Genomic DNA, 25,107 nt, shown 5'->3' with positions numbered 1-25,107 from the left:
CTTTTGCCAGACTGCCACCCAGAGAGTGTACCAACCAGGCTGACTTGGAGTCATTGTTTGGAGAAAGAAAGCTGCATATCATGCCCAGGAATTGTCAGAGTGGAATCCCAGAATATCAGACTAAGTCTAGCAAACCCTCCCCTTTTCATCCTGATCATTATATAGGAGGTGGCTAGGAGACTATGAACCCTTTCAGGGTGCCTTTTTTGTGACCAAACTACCTTACTAAGATGCATGGACCAGGAGAGTGTGAAGGAGGTAGAGTCAGAAATTTCTTTTAGTGGATTTTTTAAAAGTCCGTTTTACTTCTTGTTGGAGCCAACACCCTAAGGATGATAAGGGGTGTGAAATATCCGTTGAATACCTTGACTTATTGGCTCATTGTTGAGCAACCTCTGCGCAGTAAAAGACATATCATTGTCAGAGTGAAAGTGGTCTGGAAAACCAAAAACATAACACATTTTGATCAGTGTGACTGGCGTTGGTTGAACAGACTGGAACAATGAAACCATAACCCGAAAAAATGTCAACAACTGTAACACATTAACAATAGCCCCAGGTGTGTGTGTGTGTGTGTGTGTGTGTGTGTGTGTGTGTGTGTGTGTCAAAGGCCTGATATAGTCAACTTGTCAGAAGTAAGAGGGACCACACACCATAAAATACGGTCTATTTCACTGAGACAAAACAGGCTGACTTTTGAAAGGAAGCACAAGACCAGCATGCAATGGTAGCGTCAGATACATGTAATCTTTACTCTGTTCCTAGGCCATGATGGCAGATAATGTTGCTATGTGCAGTGTGTTGTTACAGTGTGCAGACTGCTGATCCTGGCAGCAGTGGCAGCAGTCTGGATGGTGTATACTTGATTAGCAGCATCATTGCAGTCTATTCCATTAGAGAATGAGCCATTACCATGGACATCTGTCTGATTCTCTGCTGTGATTTGTTTTCACAGTTCACAGTCCTAAAGAGGAGTGTCTGTAATCCGCTAGTTTGTTTTCTTCCAAGTGGCAGACCAGGTAACATTGTCAACAGCCCAAGAGTCAGTAAAAATATAATATGCCTTGACCAAGGACGTGTTGTTTGTTGACTAAGGCAGATATTGGCAAACTTTGTAGGCTCCACCTGCAGTGTCACTTTAGCCTCTCTTCCCCACTGAAGACTTTACCCAGACCTCATCAGTTGCATTTGGTTGCCTTTTTCCCCTAAGGGATCAGAGACCAAGGAGCTTAATGTGTGCCCAAGTTATGAATTATAGCAACAGCCAACAGGAGACTGCTGTTCACCAGCTGGAAGTGTGGGGAATGCAGAGTGGCAGGGAGGTTGGCTCACAGGGAATGCTGAGGGTGTTGAGGATGATATTTCCCTCTTGCTGTCCACTCCTGTATTGATGCCACCCCAGTATTGATACCTGAGCATCAGATACCCAGCTTCCTCCCCTGGGTACCTCCCATTGAGCATCCAAACCCGGAAGTCCTTCTTTTTCTTCCCCAGTGGAAACCGCTACATTTTACTCCACGGTCCTTGATAATTTCGGCCACCCATATGCCCAGCACCCCATCATCCTCACCAATCAAATCAGACTGTCGCAGGAGCCAGATATATAAGCAGCTGGCTTTGCACTGTTAGGCAAGGCTCTGCATTCACTTTTGTTTTGAGAGACTGCTCACCTGTGGCTCAACCAAATAAATGAGGCTGGTCTCAAACTCCTGGACTCAAGAGATATTCCCACGTTGGCTTCCAAAGTGCTGGGATTATAGATATGAGCCACTACACTTGGCCTACAATTCTGCTACAATTTGACTTCTAAGTCTATACCCAGTTGAATTGAAACTGGGTACTCAAATACTTGTACATGAATGTTCATAGCAGCATTATTCACATTAGCCAAAGGTAGAAAAACCCAGACAGATGTCCATCAATTGATGAATCAATAAACAAAATGTGGTATATTTGTATAGTTGAATGTTATTCAGCTGTAAAAAGGAATGAAATACTGATACATACTACAATGTGGATAAACCTTGAAAACATGATGCTAATTGAAGGCAGCCAGACACAGAGGCCACATATTGTATAAATCCAGATAAATCAATAGTGACAGGAAGCAAATTGGTAGTTCTGAGGTATTACAACCCATAATTGGTATTTGTGAGAAAAAGGAGGAATGGGGATTGACTTTTTTTTTTTTTTTTGAGACAGAGTTTCACTCATGTTGTCCAGGCTGGAGTGCAGTGGCACGATCTCAGCTCACTGAAACCTCTTCCTCCATGGTTCAAGCGATTTTCCTGCCTCAGCCTCCCAAGTAGCTGGGATTACAGGCACCTGCCACCACACCCGGCTAATTTTGTATTTTTGGTAGAGATGGGGTTATACCATGTTGGTCAGGCTGGTCTCGAACTCCTGACCTCAGATGATCCACATGCCTCAGCTTCCCAAAGTACTGGGATTACAGGTGGGAGCCACCACACCCGGCAGGGACTGACTTCTTAATAGAGATAAGTTTTCTTTTGGGCTGGTGAAAATGTTTTAGAACTAGATACAGGTGGTAGTTGCACAACATTGTAAATGTACAAAATGCCACTGAAGTGCACACTGTAAAATGATTAATTTCATATTATCTTTCATCTCAACTTTTTAAAAGAAAAAAGTAAAGCAATGTATGTTGACAATGTCAAATGACAACGGAATGGAAAAATTAAATGTAGTATATTCACACAATGAAATATATATATACACACATACATGTATCATCTATATATTATAACATATATTGAGAACGAAATGAACTGTGGCCGCATGCAACCACTTGAATAAATTGCACAAACAAAAGGTTCCATTGTATAACTATATTGTAATTCATTCTATTTACTGTGGATGGTAATTTGAGTTGTTTTTAGTTCTCTCTGTTACAAACAATGCTGCTGTGAGTTTTGTTGTCTACATCTTCTGACTCAAAAGTGCAAGGTTTTCCAGGGTTGATACCTCCAACTGGAATTGCTAGATCTTAGGATCTATACATCTTTAGCTTTACTAGATAAGGCCAAACAGTTTTCTCAGATGCTTGTACCAAATTACATGCCTACTCTCAATGTTTGAGAGTTCCTGTTGACTACCATCTTGACCAACATTTGATGTTCTCCATACCTTTCTGAAGTCTTTGAAGTCTCTAAAGAGATAGGGAGGCTTGATAAAATGCTACATAAGTTCTTACAATCACTAGATCTACAGTGAGCAATACAAATAACATATTGTATATTCCAGAACAAATATAATTTTATATGTGTATAATTGTATATATTTTTACTTCCCTAACAAAATGTCTAACCTTTTCTCTACATTTTTGAAATTTCTGAAAAATTTGCTTTTCTGATCCTAGTGATGCTTAGGAAAGATTTTATATCATTAAAAAGAAATTGGGAGGTCACTTCCAAGATGGCTAAATGGGAACAGCTCCAGTCTGCAGCTCCCAGCAAGATTGACGCAGAAGATGGGCGATTTCTGCATTTCCAACTGAGGTACCTGGTTCATCTCACTGGGACTGGTTGAACAGTGACTGCAGCCCACGGAGGGCGAGCTGAAGCAGGGCAGGGCGTCGCCTCACCTGGGTGCAAGGGGTCGGGGGATTTCCCTTTCCTAGTCAAGGGAAGCTCTGAGTGACTGTACACTCCTGCCCAAATACTGCGCTTTTCCCACGGTCTTCCCAATCAGCAGACCAGGAGACTGCCTCCTGTGCCTGGCTTGGCAGGTCCCATACCCACGGAGCCTTGCTCGCTGCTAGCGCAGCAGTCTGAGATCGACCTGGGATGTGGGAGCTTGGCGGGGGGAGGGGCGTCTGCCATTGCTGAGGCTTGAGTAGGCGGTTCTATGCTCACAGTGTAAACAAAGTGGCAAGGAAGCTCACACTGGGCGGAGCCCACTACAGCTCAGCAAGGCCTACTGCCTCTCTAGATTCCACCTCTGGGGCAGGGCATATCTGAACAAAAGGCAGCAGACAGGTCTATAGACCCAGGCAAACAGGGTCTGGAGTGGACCTCCAGTAAACTCCAACAGACCTGCAGCTGAGGGGCCTGTCTGTTAGAAGGAAAACTAACAAACAGAAAGGAATAGCATCAACATTAACAAAAAGGACATCCACACCAAAACCCCATCCATAGGTCACCAACATCAAAGACCAAAGGTAGATAAAACCACAAAGATGGGGAGAAACTAGAGCAGAAAGCCTGAAAATTCCAAAAACCAGAATGCCTATTCTCCAGAGGAACACAACTCCTTGCCAGCAAGGGAACAAAACTGGACAGAGAATGAGTTTGACGAGTTGACAGAAGTAGGCTTCAGAAGGTTGGTAATAACAAACTCTCCAAGCTAAAGAAGCATGTTCTAACCCAACACAAGGAAGCTAAGAACCTTGATAAAAGGTTACAGGAACTGCTAACTAGAATAACCAGTTTAGAGAAGAACATAAATGACCTGATGGAGCTGAAAAACACAGCATGAGAACTTCATGAAGCATATACAATATCAATAGCCAAATTGATCAAGCAGAAGAAAGAATAGCAGAGATTGAAGATCAACTTACTGAAATAAGAGGCAAAGACAAGATTAGAGAAAAAGGAATGAAAACGAACAAAGCCTCCAAGAAATATGGGACTATGTGAAAAGACCAAACCTACGATTGATTGGTGTACCTGAAAGTGATTGAGAGAATGGAACCACGTTGGAAAACACACTTCAGGATATTATGCAGGAGAACTTCCCCAACCTAGCAAGACAGGCCAACATTCAAATTCAGGTTGAACAATGAGAACACATGGACACAGGGAGGGGAACATCACACACTGGGGCCTGTCGGGGGGTTGGGGACAAGGGGAGGGAGAGCATTAGGACAAATACCTAGTGCATGCAGGGCTTAAAACCTAGATGACAGGTTGATAGGGGCAGCAAACCACCATGGCACATGTATACCTATGTAACAAACCTGAATGTTCTGCACATGTATCTCAGAACTTAAAGTAAAATTAAAAAAAAAAAGTTAACTATAAATCTTAGTTACCAAGAAATCCCAGTTTCTGATACTGCCTCTTGTGAATTAAATAAGACTGAATTAAATTAGACTGTCTGTAGACAGATTAGAAGGCACCACAGAAGAGTCTTGAATTAAAACAAGTTTAAAGTAGCTTGACACTAGAGAAGAATTTATTTAATCTTTCTTCATAACGAATGTGTTTATCCAGGAATACCATTTGACCCAGCAATCCCATTACTGGGTATATACCCAAAGGAATATAAATGATTCTATTACAATGAATGTTTGCTTATTGCACACATATGTTTATTGCAGCACTATTCACAATAGCAAAGACATGGAACCAACTCAAATGCTCATCAGTGATAGACTGGATAAAGAAAGTGTGGTACATATAAACCATGGAATACTATGCAGCCATAAAAAGAAATGAAATCACGTCCTTTGCAGGGACATGGATAAAGCTGGAAGACATCATCCTCAGCAAACTAACACAGGAACAGAAAACCAAACACCGCATGTCATAAGTGGAGCTGAATGATGAGAACACATGGACACAGGGAGGGGAACAACACACACCGGGGCCTGTGGTTGGGGGGAGCAAGGGAAAGGATAGCATCAGGACAAATAGACAATGCATGTGGGGCTTAATACCTAGGTGTATATCCCGGAACTTAAATAAAAATGTAAAAAAAAAAATCAGTTCCTGGTGGTTTGTAAGTCAAAAAGGAAAGGTGAAACAATAAACTTAGTGAATTCTTGTAGAAGAAAACATAGGAGAATATCTTCATGAACTTAGGACAGGGAAAGTTTATGAACAGGACAAAAAATCACCTGCTGTAATGGAAAACACTGATAAATTGGACTGTATTAGAATGTACTTCTCTTCAGCAAAAGACATGATTAAGAAAGTGGAAAGGCAATCCACGGAATGGGGGAATATATTTGCAACGTATATAACAAACAGAAGGTTCATATCCAGCATATAACAGGAATTCCTATATATCAGTAAGAAACATAATTAACCCAAAATGAAAGAGGGCAAAATACTTGAGTAGATACTCCACAAAAGAGGATATCCAACCAGACAATAAAAAGATGAATGTGTACCCATATTAATCAGAGATTGCAATTTAATGCCACATTGCATTGCTATTATATACCCACTAAAATGACTAAAATTTAAAAGATTAACAATGCCAAGTGTTGGCAAGGATATGGACCACAAGAATGCTCATTCACCAATGGTAGGATTGTGATTGGGTACAACCACTTTGAAAAACTGGCATTAAGCTAAACATATGCCTACCCTATGAGCCAGCAGTTCCACTACTAGATATATACACTCAGTTGAAACACAGATACGTGTGTACCAAAAGACATGTCTAAGAATATTCATATTGATATTCATAATAATAAAGAGTTACAAATGACCCAACTGTATATTCACTGTAGAATAAATTGGTCAAACAACAGAATATTATACGTTAGTGAAAATGGACATGAACAACGTGAAAATGGAAATGAATAATCTATAGCTACATGTAACGATACAGATAAATTTCACAAACATAATGTTGAGCAAAAGAAACCATGGAAAAATGATGGAGCAATACTGAAATCAAACAGAATAGTCTCTAAAGTGAAAAACATGAATACGGATAAAGAGAGACATTACTTAATGATAAAAGGAATATTCCACAAGAAAATATCATGAATTTGCAACTGACACCAGTCTTACAAAAAGGAAACCTGTCATGTAGTTTAGTCAAATTTAGTCACGTTAGGAAACTTAATAAACTACTCTTAAATTTTATAAATACAGAAAACAGCTCAGAGTGTGGTCAGGTGGCTCAGATCTAGCAGAGTTTTCCTTATCCCAGTGGATTTTGTAGAATACACTGCCAGTCTCTTGTCTTTCATTCATCATGGCTACTTCTGATATCCAGGTGAAAGCACTGGAGAAGTGTGCCTCAGGCTAGGCTTTTGAACTGATTCTCAGATACCATCAAAAGAATCCATCCCAGAGTTCCTTATTTCCCCTCCAAAGAAGAAAGATCTTTCCCTGGAGGAAATTCAGAATAAATCAGAAGCTTCAGAAGAAAGACACAAGCCCTGCGAAGCTGAGGCCTTGAAGCAGCTTGCTGAAAAATGAGAGCAGGAGAAAGAAGTGCTTCAGAAATCAATAAAAGAACAGCTTCAGTGAAATAGCAGAAGAGAAACTGACCCACAAAATGGAAGCTAACAAAGAGAACAGGAAGGCGCAAATGACTACCACACTGGAGTGTTTGCAGAGAAAGATAAGCACGTTGAAGAAATGCGGAAGAGCAAAGAATCCAGAGATCCTGGTGATGAGGCTGAAGCTGACTAATTTGTTCTAAGAACTGACTTTCTCCCCGCTCTTCTTCCTAGATATTCAGACTATACTGGCCAGTGTCATTTTATTTTTTGCTCCTGACAAATATTCTAGAAGCTGATGTAGGACTAGATAGGTAAATCCAGCCTGTACAATGTTGTTTTAGGAGCTAAAGGGAAGAAACTGAAAGAGTTTTACTCTTTTTCTAAAATGTTGGTCTTTCTAACATAGCTATTTTTCTTGTTGCATCTTTGCTACTTCAGTACACTTGGGTTAATGGCTAGTACTGTACTGGCTTTGTGAAACATATTTGTGAAAAGAGTATGTAGTGGCTTCTTTTGAACTGTTTGATACGGAATATTTGTTCATTTTTTAATCCCAATTCTGTCCTAATTTTACCAGATGCTACTGGACTTGAATGGTTAATAAAATTGCACAATGTTGTTGGTGGCAGTGACTTCTTTCTGTTCAGGTAATAAGTTAAAAAGATCCTCCTAGTTTATATTTGTTTCAGGTAGAGCTTTTAGGTCAATGGAAATAACCAGCATACACATTACTGCAAAGTCTCTGCTTTTGAGTTTCTTGCTCCAGAGTTGTTTGTATTGTCTTCTACAATCATTGCTTTGTTTCAATGCCTGGACCCTGATCAGCTGTTGCTATATTCTTTCAAATGTTTATTTGCAAACAATCTTTTTTGTTCTGTGTTCCTGTTTAAAAAGCAGATTAAGGCCGAGCACAAGGCTCATGCCTGTAATCCCAGCAGTTTGGGAGGCCAAGGTGGGAGGCTCACTTCAGCCCAGGAGTTCAAGACCGGCCTGGGCAACATATAGAGACCCCATCTCTACAAGAAATACAGAAAATTAGCTGATTGTGGTGGTGCATGTCTGTAGTCCCAACTACTTGGGAGGCTGAGGTAAGAGGATCACTTGAGCCTTGGAGGTTGAGGCTGCAGTGAGCTGTGATTGTGCCACTGTACTCCAGCCTGGGCAACAGAGTGAGACCTTGTCTCAAGATAAATAAATAAAAATTTTAAAGGCAGATTAAAGGCACAAATGGTGTTTCTAGAGAACAATTTAGAGGGAATCTTAAGATCCTAGTTGGAGATATCTGGTGGTTTGCTTGCTTTATGTTACAGGTGGAGGTGTATTCTAATGCTTTCCTGCCGTAAAAGCTATAATTTGAGAATTGGAAAATTTTTTGGGCTTTTTTCTTTACCCCCGACTCATAGTACAGCTTTGAGAATATAATAATATTAAAAAAGCTTTCCATGCTGCTGTAGCAACTCCTGTGAAATGATTTAAGGGAACTTTATTTATATTTTAAAAATCAATAATTTATTTATAGATATATGTATTAGTATTAAAAGTATAATTAAATAATGGACAGGAACTATTTTTAAAACTTTATGGTAGTAATTGTCTCTACAAACAGAGATACATAGAGTAAACCAGTCGAGTATATAAAAGTGGCTTTAATTTTATCAGAAAATTTTTTTTTTCTTTTTTTGAGACAAGGTCTAGCTCTCTCACCCAGGCTGGAGTGCAGTGGTACAATCACAGCTTACTGCAGCCTCACCTCCTGGACTCAAACAATCCTCCCACCTCAGCACCCCCGCACCCCAGGTAGCTGGGACTACAAGTGAATGCCACTACACCCAGCTAATTTTTGTATTATTTGTAGAGACAGGGTTTTGCCATGTTTCCCAGGCTGGTCTTGAACTCCTGGGCTCAAGTGAGCCTCCTGTCTCAGTCTCCCAAAGTGCTGGGATTATAGACATAAGCCACCATGCTCAGCCTTAATCAGAAATGTTTTATGTCTTGAGATGTCTGACACAAATATGATAAAAGAGTAACAAAATTCTAGGTTTGAGGTACATAGATGTATATCACCCTGTTTTATATTTCTGTATTTTTGAAATTTTTTATTATAAAACAACAAGCAAAAACTTGCAGAAATGAAAAGAAGACTTGATTTTAAATTACAAATATCATAAACTAGAAATTCCACATTTAGTAGAAAAATAAGAATATAGTAGAATTAGATAATACTGTAAATAAACATATATACATTAAACATATTTATGTGCAAACACATATACATACATGGAGAGAGATACTTATACATACATATATATATAACACACAGAGAGAACATTACATCTCTCACGTAGATAATATACATTCTCTGAATATATAGAGCATGTATTTGGCCACAACAAAGAGCTCTTACAAATTTGTCAACAAATAACAAAATGGTCCTCAAAAAACTAAAAATGGAACTACCCTATGATTCAGCAATTTCACCACTGGGTAAATATCCAAAAGAAAATAAATAAATATATAAAAGAGATATCTGCACTCCCATGTTTATTGCAGCACTATTTGTAATAACCAAAATATGGGCCGAGCATGGTGGCTCACACCTGTAATCCCAACACTTTGGGAGGCCGAGGCGTGTGGATCACGAGGTCAGGAGTTTGAGACCATCCTGGCTAACATGGTGAAACCCCGTCTCTACTAAAAAAGAAAAAATTAGCTGAGTGTGGTGGCATGCACCTGTAGTCCCAGCTACTTGGGAGGCTGAGGCAGGGGAATTGCTTGAACCCGGAAGGCAGAGGTTGCAGTGAGCTGAGATTGTGCCACTGCACTCCAGCCTGGCAACAGAGCAAGACTCTGTCTCAAAAAAATAAAAATAACCAAAATATGGAATCAACCTAAGTGCCCATCAATGGATGAATGAATAAAGAAAATGTGGTATAATACATATATATGATGGAATATTATTCAGCCATTAAAAAATAATGAAATCTGCTGGGTACGGTGGCTCATGCCTGTATTCCCAACACTTTGGGAGGCCAAGGCAGGCAGATCACGAGGTCAAGAGTTCAAGACCAGTCTGGCCAACATGGTGAAACCCTGTCTCTACTAAGAATACAAAAATTAGCCGGGCGTGGTGGCATGTGCCTGTAATCCCAGCTATTTGGGAGGCCAAGGAAGGAGAATTGCTTGAACCTGGGTGGCAGAGGTTGCAGTGAGCCGACATTGCACCACTGCACTCTAGCCTGGGCGACAGAGCAAGACTCCATCTTGAAAAAAAATAATAATAAAATAAAATAATAATGAAATCTTAGTCAAGTGTGGTAAGCATGCCTCTAGAAGCTGAGGCAGGAGGATCTCTTGAGCCTAGGAGGTTAAGGCTGCAGTGAGCTGTGATTGCACCATTGCACCCCAACCTAGGCAACAGAGCAAGACCCCATCTCGGGAGAGAGGGAGGTAGGGAAGGAGGGAGGGAGGGAGGAAGGGAGGGAGGGGGGAATGAATGAATTCTGTCATATGCAGCAACATGGATGGAACTGGAGGTCATTTTGTTAAGTAAGCCAGACACAGAAAGACAAATGTCACATGTTCTCATTCATATGTGGGAACTAAAAAAAAGTGGATATCATGAAGATAGAGAGTAGATGGGTGGCTAACAGAGGCTGGGAAGGGCAGGGGATGGCGGCATAGAGAGAGGTTGATTAATGGGTATAAATACACAAATAAAAAATAGTGTTCAATAGATGGGTAGGGTGACTATAGTTAATAATAATCTATTATACACTTCAAAATGGTTAGAAGAGAATAATTTGAATGTTCCTAGCATAAACAAAAGATAAATATTTAAGGTGATGGATAACCCAGTTACCCTGATTTGATCTTTACACATTATATGAATGTATCAAATTATCACATGTACCCTGAAAATATGTACATCTATTATGTATCAGTTTTTAAAAATAACAAAACAGGCAAAGGATATGTATAGATTGTTTATGGAAAAGCATATCCAGATAGCCAGCAAGCTCATGCAAGGATGTTGTTTATTGGTAATTAGAGAAATACAAGTTAAAGTAATAGTGAGACATCATTTTCACCTGTTAGGCCTTCCAACATTTAAGAGTAGGTGATCTTGAAAACAGTGCTGAGTGAAAAACTAAACAAATCTATGACAAGTCCCATGTTTATAAATTAGAAATGCATGCATACAATAAACATGTTAAAAGGAAATATACAATGAAAGGATACACATTAAACATGAGAATGGTTTCCTAGAGGGGTGGGGAATGGGAGTGGGAAATGGAGATAACAAAGAAATGGAAAGAATAAATAAAATTAAAATTAAATATAAAATAAATAAATAGGGCTGGGTGCGGTGGCTCATGCCTGTAATCCCAAGTGAGGAGTTTGGACCATCCTGGCCAATATGGTGAAACCCCATCTCTATTAAAAATACAAAAATTAGCCAGGCATGGTGGCACACGCCTATAGTCTCAGCTACTTGGGAGGCTGAGGCAGAAGAATTGCTTGAACCTGGGAGGCAGAGGTTGCAGTGAGCTGAGATCATGCCACTGCACTCCAGCCTGGGTGACAGAGTGAGACTCTGTCTCAAAAAATAAATAAACTAGCCATGATATCTATTGCTGGAAGGATGTAGAGGGAAAGGAGCTTTCTGACACTACTAATAGAAATATGAAGTGTTTTCCAGACTTTCTGAAAAATAATCTGACAACATATCCTAGAAATAGTGGTAATGCTTGTCAGCATACAAGTCACTAAATAGATCATCCGTACTGTGAAATATGATGTGACCATTAAGGGAGAATCAGTACTGTGTCGGATGCCTTGAAGGGATTTCATAAGATACTGAATGAAAGACAGTGTATAAAAGTAAGTGTACTGTGGTGCCGTTTTAGGAAACAATGACCCCTCCCCCACACAAGCCTTTAAATGTGTGTGTGTGTGTGTGTGTGTGTGTGTGTGTGTACAAGAACAGAGAAAAATAAGAAAGAATATATGCTACATTGGTGTAGAGAGCTAATGGAGGGGGAAGGACAAGAGAGGAAACTGTGTAGGAAACCAAAAGAGGAAAAAGAAAAAATTAACATTGCACTAAAAAATTAATCACAGGTATATGATCACATTCACTCATGAATGTAAAATTTTGTATATATGGGGATATTTGTAGACAGAAATTAATAAGATTTGTATTTGTTTCTTTAAAGTATGAGTTTTTCAGATGGTTGGAATTTCAGGACACAGATAAGATATGTTGGTCATAAGATTCTTGGTTGTTGCCTGATAACTCTACTTTCTGCCTATACAACCCTGGCACTGAGTTTGATATCTCTGTGATTTGTAATATTTGCTGAATCTTTGTGGTTATGGTTCTTTCTCTAGTGATTTCATTATCCACATAGTTTTCAAGAAAAATAGTAAAAACAAGTTTGCTGGATTAACAGATAAAACTTTTCAATTAGTGGGTCCCAATATAAAGCTTATTTAGGAGTATGTGTCTTAGAAATTAGACACTTAGGAAAAACATTCTTGTTGGTCATTTAAAATGCATTTTGATAAATGAGGTATGCATAGAAAAAAATTGTAGAGGAAGAGCATCTTGTCCGTAATTTAACACAGACTAGGTTTTTGAAGCTTACAGAGCTAAAGTTGTAAATATAGTATTAATATAAAATGTATATACTTTTTTTTGAGACAGGATCTTGCTCTGTTGCCCAGGCTGGAGCGTAGTGGCACAATCACAGCTCACTGCAGTCTCGACCTTCTGGGCCCAAGCGATCCTCCCACCTCAGCCTCCCAAGTAGCTGGGACTACAGGCTCACATCACCATGCTCAGCTAATTTTTGTATTTTTTTTCTTTTTTTGTAGAGACAGGGTTTCACTATGTTGTTCAGGCTGGTCTCAAACTCCTGAGCTCAAGCCATCCTCCTGCCTGGGCTTCCCAAAGTGTTGGGATTACAGGCGTGAGCCACCACACCCAGCCAAAATGTACACACTTTTATGAAAGGGCTAAGTGCTAACAAATAGCATTAAGACAAGTGTTAGGAATCAGTACAGGCCCAGTGTGATTTACTATATTGTATTTGTATTTCAGATGCCTTTGGTGCTTCATGAAGAATATTTCCAGATATCTCACAGACATTAAGCCTTTGCCTCCCAACATAAAAGACAGACTGATTAAAATAATGAGTATGCAGGGACAGATAACAGATTCAAATATAAGTGAGGTAAGAGTATGAATAACTGTAAAGCAAGCATATTATATTTTCTGTTTAGATATGGTTTTAGATTTTTGGAACAATGGTATATGGTAAGACTGGTAATCATTTTTAATTTTTTTTTTTTTATACAGGGTCATGCTCCGTTGCCCAGGCTGGAGTACAGTGGTGCAATCTCAGCTCACTGCAACCTCCGCTGCCTGGACTTAGGTGATCCCTCTTCAGCCTCCTGAGTAGTTGGGACTATAGGTGTACACCACCATGCCTGGCTAATTTTTGCATTTTTTGTAGAGACAGGGTTTCACCATGTTGCCCAGGCTGGTCTCGAACTCCGGAGCTCAAGTGATCCATCCGCCTCAGCCTCTCAAAATGCTGGGATTACAGGTGTGAGCCACCATGCCTGGCCCACATTTTAGAATATTATAAAGTATAAGGGTTTGTTTTTTTCCCTCCAGATAACCAAAATGTCCATATGTAATTATCAGAGGAACCTGCCCCCAATATTTCAATGTAGGTTCTTTCTATTTTTCCTAAGTGTCGGCTGGTCTGAGAAATAAAGAGAAAGAGTACAAAGAGAGGAATTTTACAGCTGGGCCGCCGGGGGTGACATCACATATCGGTAGGACTGTGATGCCCACCTGAGCCACAAAACCAGCAAGTTTTTATTAAGGATTTCAAAAGGGGAGGAATGTACGAACAGGGAGTAGGTCACATGCTTTAAAGGGCAAAAAGCAGAGCAAAGATCACATGCTTCTGAGGAAACAGGGCAAGGACAAAATCAGAACTCCTGATAAGGGTCTATGTTCAGCAGTGCACGTATTGTCTTGATAAACATCTTAACAGAAAACGGTTCGAGAGCAGAGAACCAGTCTGACCTCAAATTTACCAGGGCTGGGGTTTCCCAATCCTAGTAAGCCTGAGGGTACTGCAGGAGACCAGGGTGTATCTCAGTCCTTATCTCAACCGCATAGGACAGACACTCCCATAGGACAGACACTCCCAGAGTGGCCATTTATAGACCTCCCCCCAGGAATGCAATTCTTTCCCTAGGGTCTTAATATTCCTTGCTAGGAAAAGAATTTAGCAATATCTCTCCTACTTGCACGTCTGTTTATAGGCTCTCTGCAAGAAGAAAAATATGGCTCTTTTTGCCTGACCCCGCAGGCAGTCAGACCTTATGGTCGTCTTCCCTTGTTCGCTAAAATTGCTGTTATTCTGTTCTTTTTCAAGGTGCACTGATTTCATATTGTTCAAACACATGTTTTACAATCAATTTGTACAGTTAATGCAATCATCACAGTGGTCCAGAGGTGACGTACATCCTCAGTTTATGAAGATAATAGGATTAAGAGATTAAAATAAAGACAGGCATAAGAAATTATGAAAGCATTATTTGGGAAGTGATAAATGTCCATGAAATCTTCACAATTTATGTTCCTCTGCCATGGCTCCAGCTGGTCCCTCCATTTGGGGTCCCTGACTTCCCGCAACATGTAATAGTTCCTAAAACATCTTCTACCATTGTCTCAGTTACTTCTCTTGTGTCAACCAGAGTCGTGGAGACTGAAAATCCAAGCAAAAAGGTTTATTGGTGGTTTTAGAATTGAATTCAAGGAACACAGATTCCAGAGGCATCTGAAATCATGTCCTAACTATTTAATTCATATGTCCTAAGAGATATATGAGGTCTTTTAAAGAGAAAGGTGGGAGAGGGTTATCAAACAATTCATTAGTTAGAATAAGGGTTTCTAGGCAGAAGTCCTTGATTCAGGGGTTTGGAAAAAGTTCAGTCATCAGCATAGCATAGTCTTTTCAGAAGTGGCAGCAATTTCATCTGCAGCATCAGCAAGTACGTTCTACAGTCAAGCAGTTGCAGAATGACATTCAGGAACAAAATGGTGTTGTTCTGGTCAGCTCCCATTAGCCTTCCATACACACTTGTCTTCATGGTACCTGTACCCTTGACCTCCGTGTTTTCAAAAAGTTTAAAACTTTTTGATCAAGACTCACAATAAGAAATATACGTTACATTGTGACTGTAGTACACAAACCACACTTAGGTGTAACAGTATAATGTATAGTACATTTTGGTCTTTTCTATTTAATTTTATTCTATTTAGTCTTATTTTACTGAAAAAATATTGATCACAGTCTGCTAAACTGATTTTGTAATCCATTCATGGATAATGACCAGTAGTTAAAAAATCACTCTTCTCATCTATACTGTTCTTTTTTCAACTGCTATATTTTTCATATTTAATATTTCCAATTCACCTTTTTATGGTTTCGTTTTATCTTATTAATCTTTTCTTATTTCTTTTAGCATATTATTATGCTTATTAATATATTTGGCCTCTCTGTTCTAATTCCTCTGCTCCTGATGGAATCAGTAATCTTTGTTTTTCTTTTGAAATAGTGGTGCTCTCTAGATGTCTTGTTTTGGCCTGTGAACATATCTCTGTATACTCTCTGGTAGTGGTAAGAGTAAAGGAGGCCAGACCCAAGTCTGTTTCGGCCCTACTAAGCTGACATAGGGGGTGGAGGCCTGGAGAGGGGCTGGAGTGATGAGCTCCAAGGCAGAGAGCCCCAAGCACTAGAAAAAGATGGTTAATCACTCTTTGTTCTGCTAAACAGCCCGTGAGATTAGGGCTTAACCTTCAGCCTCTGATTTTAAAGGTTATTAAATAGCAGAGTAGATAATTTCCTTCGATACTACTCCTGTGTTATCTTTTGTATTTTTGCTATTTGTGTTTCAAAAAGTGAAAATGCTAGTTAGTAGTTTCTACACTACTTACATTTAAATATTGTCTTTGGGTTTGCAGCCACCACCACTCTGCAGCCATCACCATCTAGTCTGCAGAGACTAGAACTGCCAATTGCTGTTGGGGGTGAGCGGCATCTATCCAGGCTGGTGGGATGGTGGTAAAAGAATTTACCAAGACAGTTGTAGGTAAAGAAAGGCAGATTTTTTTTTTTTTTTTTTTTTTTTTGAGACGGAGTCTTGCTGTTTCACCCAGGCTGGAGCGCAGTGGCATGATCTTGGCTCACTGCAACCTCTGCCTCCCAGGTTCACGCCATTCTCCTGCCTCAGCCTCCTGAGTAGCTGGGACTACAGGCGCCCGCCACCACACCCAGCTAATTTTTTGTATTTTTAGTAGAGACGGGGTTTCACCATGTTAGCCAGGATGGTCTCGATCTCCTGACCTTGTGATCTGCCCGCCTCAGCCTCCCAAAGTGCTGGGATTACAGGCGTGAGCCACCGCGCCCGGCCAAGAAAGGCAGATTTATTAGAGAAAATATGAAAATACATTGCAAGGGAGCAACGGGCAGAACCAGCAAGAGAGGACCCAACTGCCAGGAGACAAAGGCTTGCTGGGGATTTTATAGAATGGAACTTGGGCTGATTGACAGCACCAAGGTAGGAGGGAACTAACTTGCATCCTTCTGTCAGCCGAGGTGTTTGATGATAGATCAAAGTGTTTGGTGATAAGCAGGAGGTTTATGAGTTTTGTATGTTGTCTGCACAGGAGGGCTATATGTTCTGGGCCATAAAGAAAGGCAGACCTATAGCTTATCTGCTTCTTCTTTTTGTTTATATGTTCTGGACCATGAAGAAAGGCAGACCTGTAGCTTATTTGCTTTCCCCTTGTCCTGCCAGCCTGACTCCTTTTCCCTAATTAGGACTCCACAATTGCTCTGACTTCACTTCACCTTCTGCCTAAAGCCTGTAATCAAAAGGAAGCAAGGTCTGATGATAGCACTCCAGCATATGTTTTTCTGTGGTTTTTGCTTGTTTGTTGTTTTTTTTTTGAGACAGGGTCTCACTCTGTCACCCAGGGTAGAGTGCATAATCATGGCTCACTGCAGCCTCAACCTCCTGGGCTCAGGTGATCCTCCCACCTCAGCCTCCTGAGTAGCTAGGACTACAGGCACCCACTACCACATCCAGCTAATTTTTGTATTTTTTTTAGAGACAGGGTTTCACCATGTTGCCCAGGCTGGTCTTGAACCTCTGGGCTCAAGCAATCTGCCCACCTTGGCCTCCCAAAGATCTAGGATTATAAGTGTGAGCCACAGTGCCCAGCCTACATGCTAGAGCATGTGACTAACCCTGTGACTTTACATTGGAATTGCACTTTAACCTGTTTTTAATGTTTCTTCTGCATTAACCTGATATATCTTTATTATAATGCTTTATTTTCTTCATGTTAGCTTGCATTTGAACATAGATACCTTAGTGGTGTAGTTTGCTTGGCTCTGTGGAAGTAGAATAATATCTCCACGTTCTTATTGTTGATGGTTCTGTTGAAGTATGTAATGTTATATGTGACTCATAGATGAACCATAATGACACTGTAGAAAAATGGTGGTTTTCTTCACTTTTCCACCATCCACATTTCTTACTATCCCTTTAGCTTATCCTTCAGTGACTTAGGTTTTTGTTTGATGGCAATCCTTACCATTTTTTAAGCCTAATTTTAGCTGAATTTAAAAGGAGGGGTGAAGAGGGTGAATGAGATAGAAAAACAAGACATGATTTTTCTGGGTACTCTCCCTCTAGTCTCCATCCTTAACAAGAGTCTTGCTTATGACATTATTCAAAAAGCCAGATACAACATCCATTACAAAGTGACACACATCTTTGGATGGCTGTTTTTGAAGTATTTCATAAATCTTTTTATACTCTCTGGATGGAGAAGGCCTTTTTAAACATGATACTAAAGTTGGAAACCAAGAAAAAAAGTTGGATGGATTTGATTACATAAAAATACAGACTTCCTTATGGCAAGAAGAAAAAAAAAAAAGAAACAAAGTCAAAAACTTGGAAAAATATTTACAGTATGTATGAAAATCTAGGGGCTTTTTTATCTTGACAATATAAAGAATCCCTCCAAGCCAATAAGAAAAAACAAAACAACCAAATAAAAAACCAGAAGAATCAGGAAATACTCAGAGGAAAAAATACAAATCTCCAATAACATATCAAAGGATATTTAACCTTACTAGTCATCAAAGTGACAGTTTGCCTTTCAGTTTGGCAGAGACTTTAAAAAAATCCCAAAACCCAATGTTAGCAATAGTGTGGAGAAACTGTCACTTTTATCTCCTGCTAGTGAGAGTGTAAATTGATTTAAAAAAACCTTTTAGACGGACAGTTTGGCATTATTAAAAATTCTAAAGATTTGCTTATTATTAATTCAACAATTTACTTCCTGTAGAAATCTCAGGAAGATAATAGAAAAGTACACACATATATTCATTATAATATCATTTATGATAATAAGCATAGTTATATATAGCATATGTTATAAGCAAGACACCTTTATTTCTCACAACATATCCTGTTTTAGTAATAAGGCTAGTAAAGCACAGAGAGAAAACTGAGCTTGATGGCAATCATAGGGTTCCAGGTTGGGCAGTCTGCTTGCAAAGCACATGTTCTTAATCACGGCATAATATTGCCTACCTAAAGCAACCTAAATGTTCAACTCAAGTGTTTGCCAGTGTAGGATGCATTTAATAAGTTATGATACTTGCAGAAAATGGAATAATATACAACCACAATCTATTGATTTTATAAAAAGTGCTCATCTTATATGTGATCTGATCCTGTTGTTCTTCAAAGCGTTTTTTAAACTCAAAAAACATCAAAATGAATATATACAGCCATAAAATCATGTCCTTTACAGCAACATGGATGCAGCTGGAGGCCGTTATCCTAATGAATAAATGCAGACACAGAAAACCAAATACTGCATGTTCTCACTTATAAGTGGGAGCCAATCGCTGGGTGCACACAGACATAAAGATGGGAAAAATACACACTGGGGACTTCAAAAGGGAGGAAGGAGGAAGGGAAGCAAGGATTGAAAAACTACCTGTCAAGTACTGTGTTCACTCTTTGGGTGATGGGTTCAATTGAAGCCTAAACTTCAGCATCATGCAGTATATCCCTGTAACTAACCTGCACATGTACCCCCTGAATCTAACAGTTTTAAAAAGCTAATATAATTTTATCTCTGGGTATTGGTATTATGGGTAATTTTAGTTATAGAGGTTAAAAGGTTAGGCTTTGGAATTAAAAGGACCTGGGTTCCAATCCCAGCTCCACTCCTTTTGGCTATGTTCTTTATGTTGGCTACTTAAGCTCTCAGGGTCTTAATTCCCGATTTGTAAAATGGCAATGACCAATCCCTTGGGGGCGGGCAGTGGGGTGGTGGGCAGTGGAAAGAGAGAGAGAGAGAATATTAAATAACATAATGTAGGCCAGGCACAGTGGCTCACGCCTGTAATCCCAGCACTTTGGGAGGCCAAGGCGGGCAGATCACCTGAAGCCGGGAGTTTGAGACCAGCCTGACCAACATGGAGAAACCACATCTCTACTAAAAAATACAAAATTAGCCAGGCGTGGTGGTGCATGCCTGTAATCCCAGCTACTGGGAGGCTGAGGCAGGAGAATCGCTTGAACCCGGGAGGCGGAGGTTGCAGTGAGCCGAGATCACGCCATTGCACTCCAGCCTGGGCAACAAGAGTGAAATTCCATCTCAAAAATAAAATAAAATAAAAAATAATATAATGTATATGACAGTACCCTTCCTGGTAAGCATCTAATAAATAGAAATCATTATTCTTATAACTTATTATAATTTTTCTAAATTGTCTGAGTGTTTTACAATAATAATACCTTATTTTATTTTCAGAAAGGTAAAGCCATTTCTATTTTGGAAAAAAAATAAAGAACAGAAAAATACAGGAAAGAGCTCAGAATGCTTAGGAATTAATCTATTATTTGTCAACCTCAAGAAAACACCCAATAATACTGGGGTATTTTATTAGCTCCCAAAAATAATGATATAGAAGGTAAATGTTCTAGATAAGCAGTACTAGTGCTCTGTAAGCACTTGGTACACAAGTGATTAAAGACTCATACTTCCTAAGCACAGAGGCCCATAGGGAGAGTCTCTAATGCCAGCAGCTACCAGAAGATTATTACTCACTGCCACATTGGTTAAGCTTCTCAGGTCTATGGATCCTTCCCCTGAATTAGCCATCTCAACAGTGCTTTGTGTCCCAAGAAGGACTTTGCCAGCACTGAAAGCTGCACCTCCTGCTGGAAGTAGAAGTGGTTTTCTCCTGCTTTGTGTGTCTGTCTGCACATGGATATGCTTCTGTATTCTTTGCTGTATTTTACATCAGCCACTTGTCTGTTATGACCACCAAAACACTGAATATGGAATAAATATTTGTATTTATAGAAAGAAATAATTTTTTCAAAATCACTTATTTGTTATAGATTTTACATCCTGAAGTCCAAACTCTAGATCTACGGAGCTGCGATATATCAGATGCTGCTCTCCTGCACCTGTCTAACTGTAGAAAACTGAAGAAATTAAATTTAAATGCTTCAAAAGGGAACCGAGTTTCTGTAACTTCAGAAGGTATGTTTATTAACACTGAGTACATTGGTAGATTACTATTCACTATCTGGTAAAATTGTGGAGTAAGGGAGAAAATACGTCAAAAGAGAGTATGAAGAAGTCAGAGAAATATGAATTATATTTATCAGTAAAAACATTCAGACTAAGAAAATAATCCAAGTTAGAATTCTTGCTTATAATCAGTGCTCAAAGTTAAGAAAGACACTGGGTAAGTCACTACCTTGTATTTTAAACATATGTAAAATAAACATGGGCCAGGCTAGGTGGCTTATGACAGTCATTCCAGCACTTTTTTAGCTGGGAGGCCGGCAGACTGCTTGAGCCAAGGAGTTCGATGCCAGCCTGGCCAGCATGATGGACCGCCCCCGACCCCTACCTCATCTCTACAAAAAATACAAAAGTTAGCCAGGCATGGTGGTGCACCCTGTAGTCCCAGCTACTTAGGAGGTGGAGGCACGAGAATCCCTTGAGCCTGGGAGGTAGCAGTTGCAATGAGCTGAGATTGCACCACTACTCCAGCCTGGGTGACATAGGGAGACTCTATCAGAAAGAAATAAAAAATAGGGCCAGGTGCGGTGGCTCATGCCTGTAATCCCAGCACTCTGGGAGGCCGAGGCAGGTGGATCACCTGAGGTCAGGAGTTCGAGACCAGCCTGACCAACATGGAGAAACCCTGTCTCTACTAAAAATACAAAATTAGCCAGGCGTGGTGGTGCATGCCTGTAATCCCAGCTACTTGGGAGGCTGAGGTAGGAGAATCGCTTGAACCTAGGAGGTGGAGGTTGCATTGAGCTGAGATTGTGCCATTGCACTCCAGCCTGGGCAATGAGAGCAAAACTCTCTCAAAAATAAACAACAACAACAACAAAAAATTGGCCAGGCGTGTTGGCTCACGCCTGTAATCCCAGCACTTTGGGAGGCCTAGGCGGGTGGATCACGAGGTCAGGAGATCGAGACCATCCTGGCTAACATGGTGAAACCCCGTCTCTACTAAAACTACAAAAAATTAGCCGGGCATGGTGACACGTGCCTGTAGTCCCAGCTACTCGGGAGGCTGAGGTAGGAGAATCGCTTGAACTGGGGAGGTGGAGGTTGCAGTGAGCCGAGATTGCGCCACTGCACTCCAGCCTGAGCAACAGAGCAAGACTCCGTCTCAAAAAAATAAATAAAATTAAAATTAAAACTAAAAAAAAAACAAAACATGGATACATACGTCTGTATTTTAAATATTTTGCCTGGTATAGTGGAAGAAGAAATGACCAGTTCATATTTTGTTAAGGCTTTTTTGATGCCATATTACAAAAGAATTAATCATCAGATTAAATTTACTAGGTACTCTCCTATCAGTTTGTGTAATGCATAGCTTTTTATAGCTAGACAAACTGCATTGTTCAGTGTCACTATTACATGAGTTAGTGAATCTTTACCTTTTTTCCTCTCTATAGACCTCTTTTTTTCAATATTTGGTTTGCATTAATACTTATTTTTATTTATTTATTTAAGACAGTGTCTTGATCTGTCACCCAAGCTGGAATGCAGTGGCACAATCTTGGCTCACTGTAGCCTCAGCCTCCCAGGCTCAAGCGATCCTCCCACCTCAGCCTCCCAAGTAGCTGGGACCGCAGATGTGCACCACCACCCACTGCGAATTTTTTATTTTTAGTAGAGACGAGGTCTCACTAGGTTGCCCAGGCTTTTTTTTTTTTTTTAAATATAAGAAAGAGGGACTTTTTTGGCCTCTTAGAATTCTGGAAAACTGTGTGGGTAGTTGAGTATATTTTGCAGTCATCTTGGTTAGCGAGTTAGGATATTCATAATATTGCAAACACGCATAAGTTTTAATATGTTTACATAAATAATAACTCACAAAAAAGAACTTCTCCAATAAAACCACATTTCTCTACACTCACACCACACTTCTGACAGCAAATGTGTGGGGTTTTTTCACACCAAACAATTCTCCAACTCTCTGGACACCAGCTGGGTGCGCTACAATTTAATTCAATTCTGACACTATCTACCTGGAGTTAGCCTCAGATCCCACAAGTTAAGGGCTCAGTCCCACAAGACTATCCCCACTTCAGATGCCAATTGCAAGGCCAGGCCTCTGGTACATATGACTGACCAACTATAAATGGAGGGTTTCCATGACCTCCTCCTCCATTCAATAATTTGTCAGAATGGCTCACAAAACTCAGGGAAACACTTTTGTTACATTTACCAGTTTATTCTAAGAGATTATAAAGGATACAGATGAACAGCAAGATGAAGAGTACATAGGGTGAGGTCTGGAAGCGCAGGAGCCCCTGTCCCCATGGAGTTGGGATACACTGCCCTCCCAGCATGTGGATGCATTCACCAACCCAGAAGCTCATCAAGTCTTCTTGTTCAAGAGGTTTTTTGTTTGTTTTTTCTTCTTCCTTTTTCTTTTCTTTTCTTTCTTTTTTTTTTTTTTTTTTTTTTTTTTGAGACAGAGTCTCACCATATTGCCCAGGCTTGAGTGTAGTGGTGCCATCTCGGCTCACTGCATCCTCCACCTCTGGGTTCAAGTGATTCTGATTCTCCTGCCTCAGCCTCCGGAGTAGCTGGGATTACAGGCATGTAACACCATGCCCAGCTAATTTTTGTATTTTTAGTAGAGACAGGGTTTCACCATGTTGGCCAGGCTGCTCTCAAACTCCTGAGCTCAAGTAATCTGCCCGCCTCGGCCTCCCAAAGTGCTGAGATTACAGGTGTGAACCACCACACCCGTCCCAAGAGTTTTTATAGAGCTTAATCCCCATCCCCTATTCCCTGCCGTCCCTGACCCCCACCTCGCCAAAGGTCTGTGGACTGAGCTGAATGTTCTAACCCTCTACTCACTTGATTTTTCTGGAGACAGGCCCCAACCTTAGGCTATCTAGGGGTCACATGCTGTCACCTCATTAGCTTAAACTCAGGTATGATCAAAAGGGGCTTATTATGACTAACAAAAGGCACTCCGGTCACTCAGGAAATTATAAGGCTTTTCGGAGCTCTGTGTCAGGGACTGGGAACAAAGATCAAATACAGTTCTTATTGTATCACAACTTCCATGCTGGACACTGATAAATAAAATAACTGGTCTTAAGAAAAAAAAAAAGTTCTTTCTTAAGATATGGAAAACAGTAAAAATGACCTACCCATGAATTTACCATCTTCCCTTCTGTGTATTTTGCCCATAAAGGTATCTTTTAACAGTGCTACCATGTTTGTTTATGACCAAAGGGCCCAGGATCCCCGAAGTACTCTTTTATTTATGTGCACCCATCTCCAATGGGCACTTATATCAGCTTAACTGGATTTAAAGACTTCTCTTTTTTGACCCTCAGGAAAATGTAAGATTGGTCCAGGCTAACAGAAGGAGCATGGTGGTAGAAAATAAATTCACTTTTGAGAACAGAGTCAAAGTGGAGCGAGAGAGAACACATAGGCATAGCTATAAATTTCTAACCGCAAGCATGAAGATCATGACTGAAACCATTTGGGCAGTTTAACTTTTGGTTTGCCTCCAAAGTCCACTAGAAAAGTAATTTGATTACTTGAAAATTTTTGTTTTAACCAAAAGGAGAATCGCCTACTATTTCACTATCTAATTGGGTTCTGAATGACTTTTGCCTATTTCCTAAAAGGAATTCAACCTGTGGACAATAAAGCCTTGCCATTAATTGCAGATACTACAGACTGTGTAGAGAATTCCTGAAACATTCCAAAAGAGTTCTGAATAATGACAGTATCACTGGAAAATCAGTATTTCCTCACAGGTGGACTACTTTGAAAAGGGCTAACACTGAACTGGTGATTGCTAAAATGAAAATCAGTCACATTTCTCATGTATACATATACACACATATAGCTCATTGATATATAATTATATTTTCCCCCAGGAATAAAAGCTGTGGCTTCATCTTGTTCATACCTACACGAAGCTTCTTTGAAAAGATGCTGCAATCTCACTGACGAAGGAGTCGTTGCTCTTGCACTCAATTGCCAGCTGCTAAAGATCATCGATTTAGGTGGCTGCTTAAGTATTACTGATGTGTCCTTACATGCATTAGGAAAAAACTGCCCATTTTTGCAGTGTGTCGACTTTTCAGCTACTCAGGTAAATGACATATAGGCTACAAACATATAGACTATGTGTTTACCAAATGTATTTTCATGACTAATGAGAACATATCATAAGGAGTTCATTTTGTTTTTGTTGAAACTATTG

The 25,107-nt window shown here is 40.0% G+C and overlaps 1 protein-coding gene and 1 pseudogene across 7 annotated transcripts in view, besides 3 other annotated features; both read left to right on the top strand.

Annotated features, from left to right (window-relative positions):
* The window catches only part of AMN1 (antagonist of mitotic exit network 1 homolog), a 58,038-nt gene that overhangs the window by 6,439 nt on the left and 26,492 nt on the right, over nucleotides 1-25,107 (top strand). For 2 of the 7 annotated variants that reach the window (NM_001278411.2, NM_001113402.2), the window contains exons 2-4: nucleotides 13,311-13,443; nucleotides 20,729-20,873; nucleotides 24,779-24,996. In NM_001278411.2, the coding sequence (NP_001265340.1) occupies nucleotides 13,327-13,443; nucleotides 20,729-20,873; nucleotides 24,779-24,996 (480 nt within the window). In that variant the 5' untranslated portion in view covers nucleotides 13,311-13,326. Of the gene's footprint in view, nucleotides 1-3,379; nucleotides 3,519-7,784; nucleotides 7,855-13,310; nucleotides 13,444-13,823; nucleotides 20,035-20,728; nucleotides 20,874-24,778; nucleotides 24,997-25,107 lie in introns of those variants that run through there. The other 5 variants (NM_001278412.2, NR_103522.2, XM_017018965.3 and 2 more) reach the window with 5 other exon arrangements.
* Nucleotides 3,154-3,660: an enhancer, noted in NCBI's record as "H3K4me1 hESC enhancer chr12:31872010-31872516 (GRCh37/hg19 assembly coordinates)". NCBI's record gives its function as "activates a minimal SCP1, AML or CMV promoter by ChIP-STARR-seq in primed H9 embryonic stem cells {active_cell/tissue: H9 hESC(primed)}" and the evidence as "EXISTENCE:reporter gene assay evidence [ECO:0000049][PMID:30033119]".
* Nucleotides 3,661-4,168: an enhancer, noted in NCBI's record as "H3K4me1 hESC enhancer chr12:31871502-31872009 (GRCh37/hg19 assembly coordinates)". NCBI's record gives its function as "activates a minimal SCP1, AML or CMV promoter by ChIP-STARR-seq in naive and primed H9 embryonic stem cells {active_cell/tissue: H9 hESC(naive and primed)}" and the evidence as "EXISTENCE:reporter gene assay evidence [ECO:0000049][PMID:30033119]".
* STMN1P1 (stathmin 1 pseudogene 1) lies at nucleotides 6,862-7,692 on the top strand (annotated as a pseudogene).
* Nucleotides 7,130-7,269: an enhancer, noted in NCBI's record as "active region_6173". NCBI's record gives its function as "activates an Ori minimal core promoter by ATAC-STARR-seq in GM12878 lymphoblastoid cells {active_cell/tissue: GM12878}" and the evidence as "EXISTENCE:reporter gene assay evidence [ECO:0000049][PMID:35858748]".

The sequence above is a fragment of the Homo sapiens genome, chromosome 12 (genome assembly GCF_000001405.40).
Source record: "Homo sapiens chromosome 12, GRCh38.p14 Primary Assembly".
Lineage (NCBI taxonomy): Eukaryota > Metazoa > Chordata > Mammalia > Primates > Hominidae > Homo > Homo sapiens.
The sequence above is the reverse complement of the archived record's forward strand: the minus strand, read 5'-3'. Positions and strand labels throughout refer to the sequence as shown.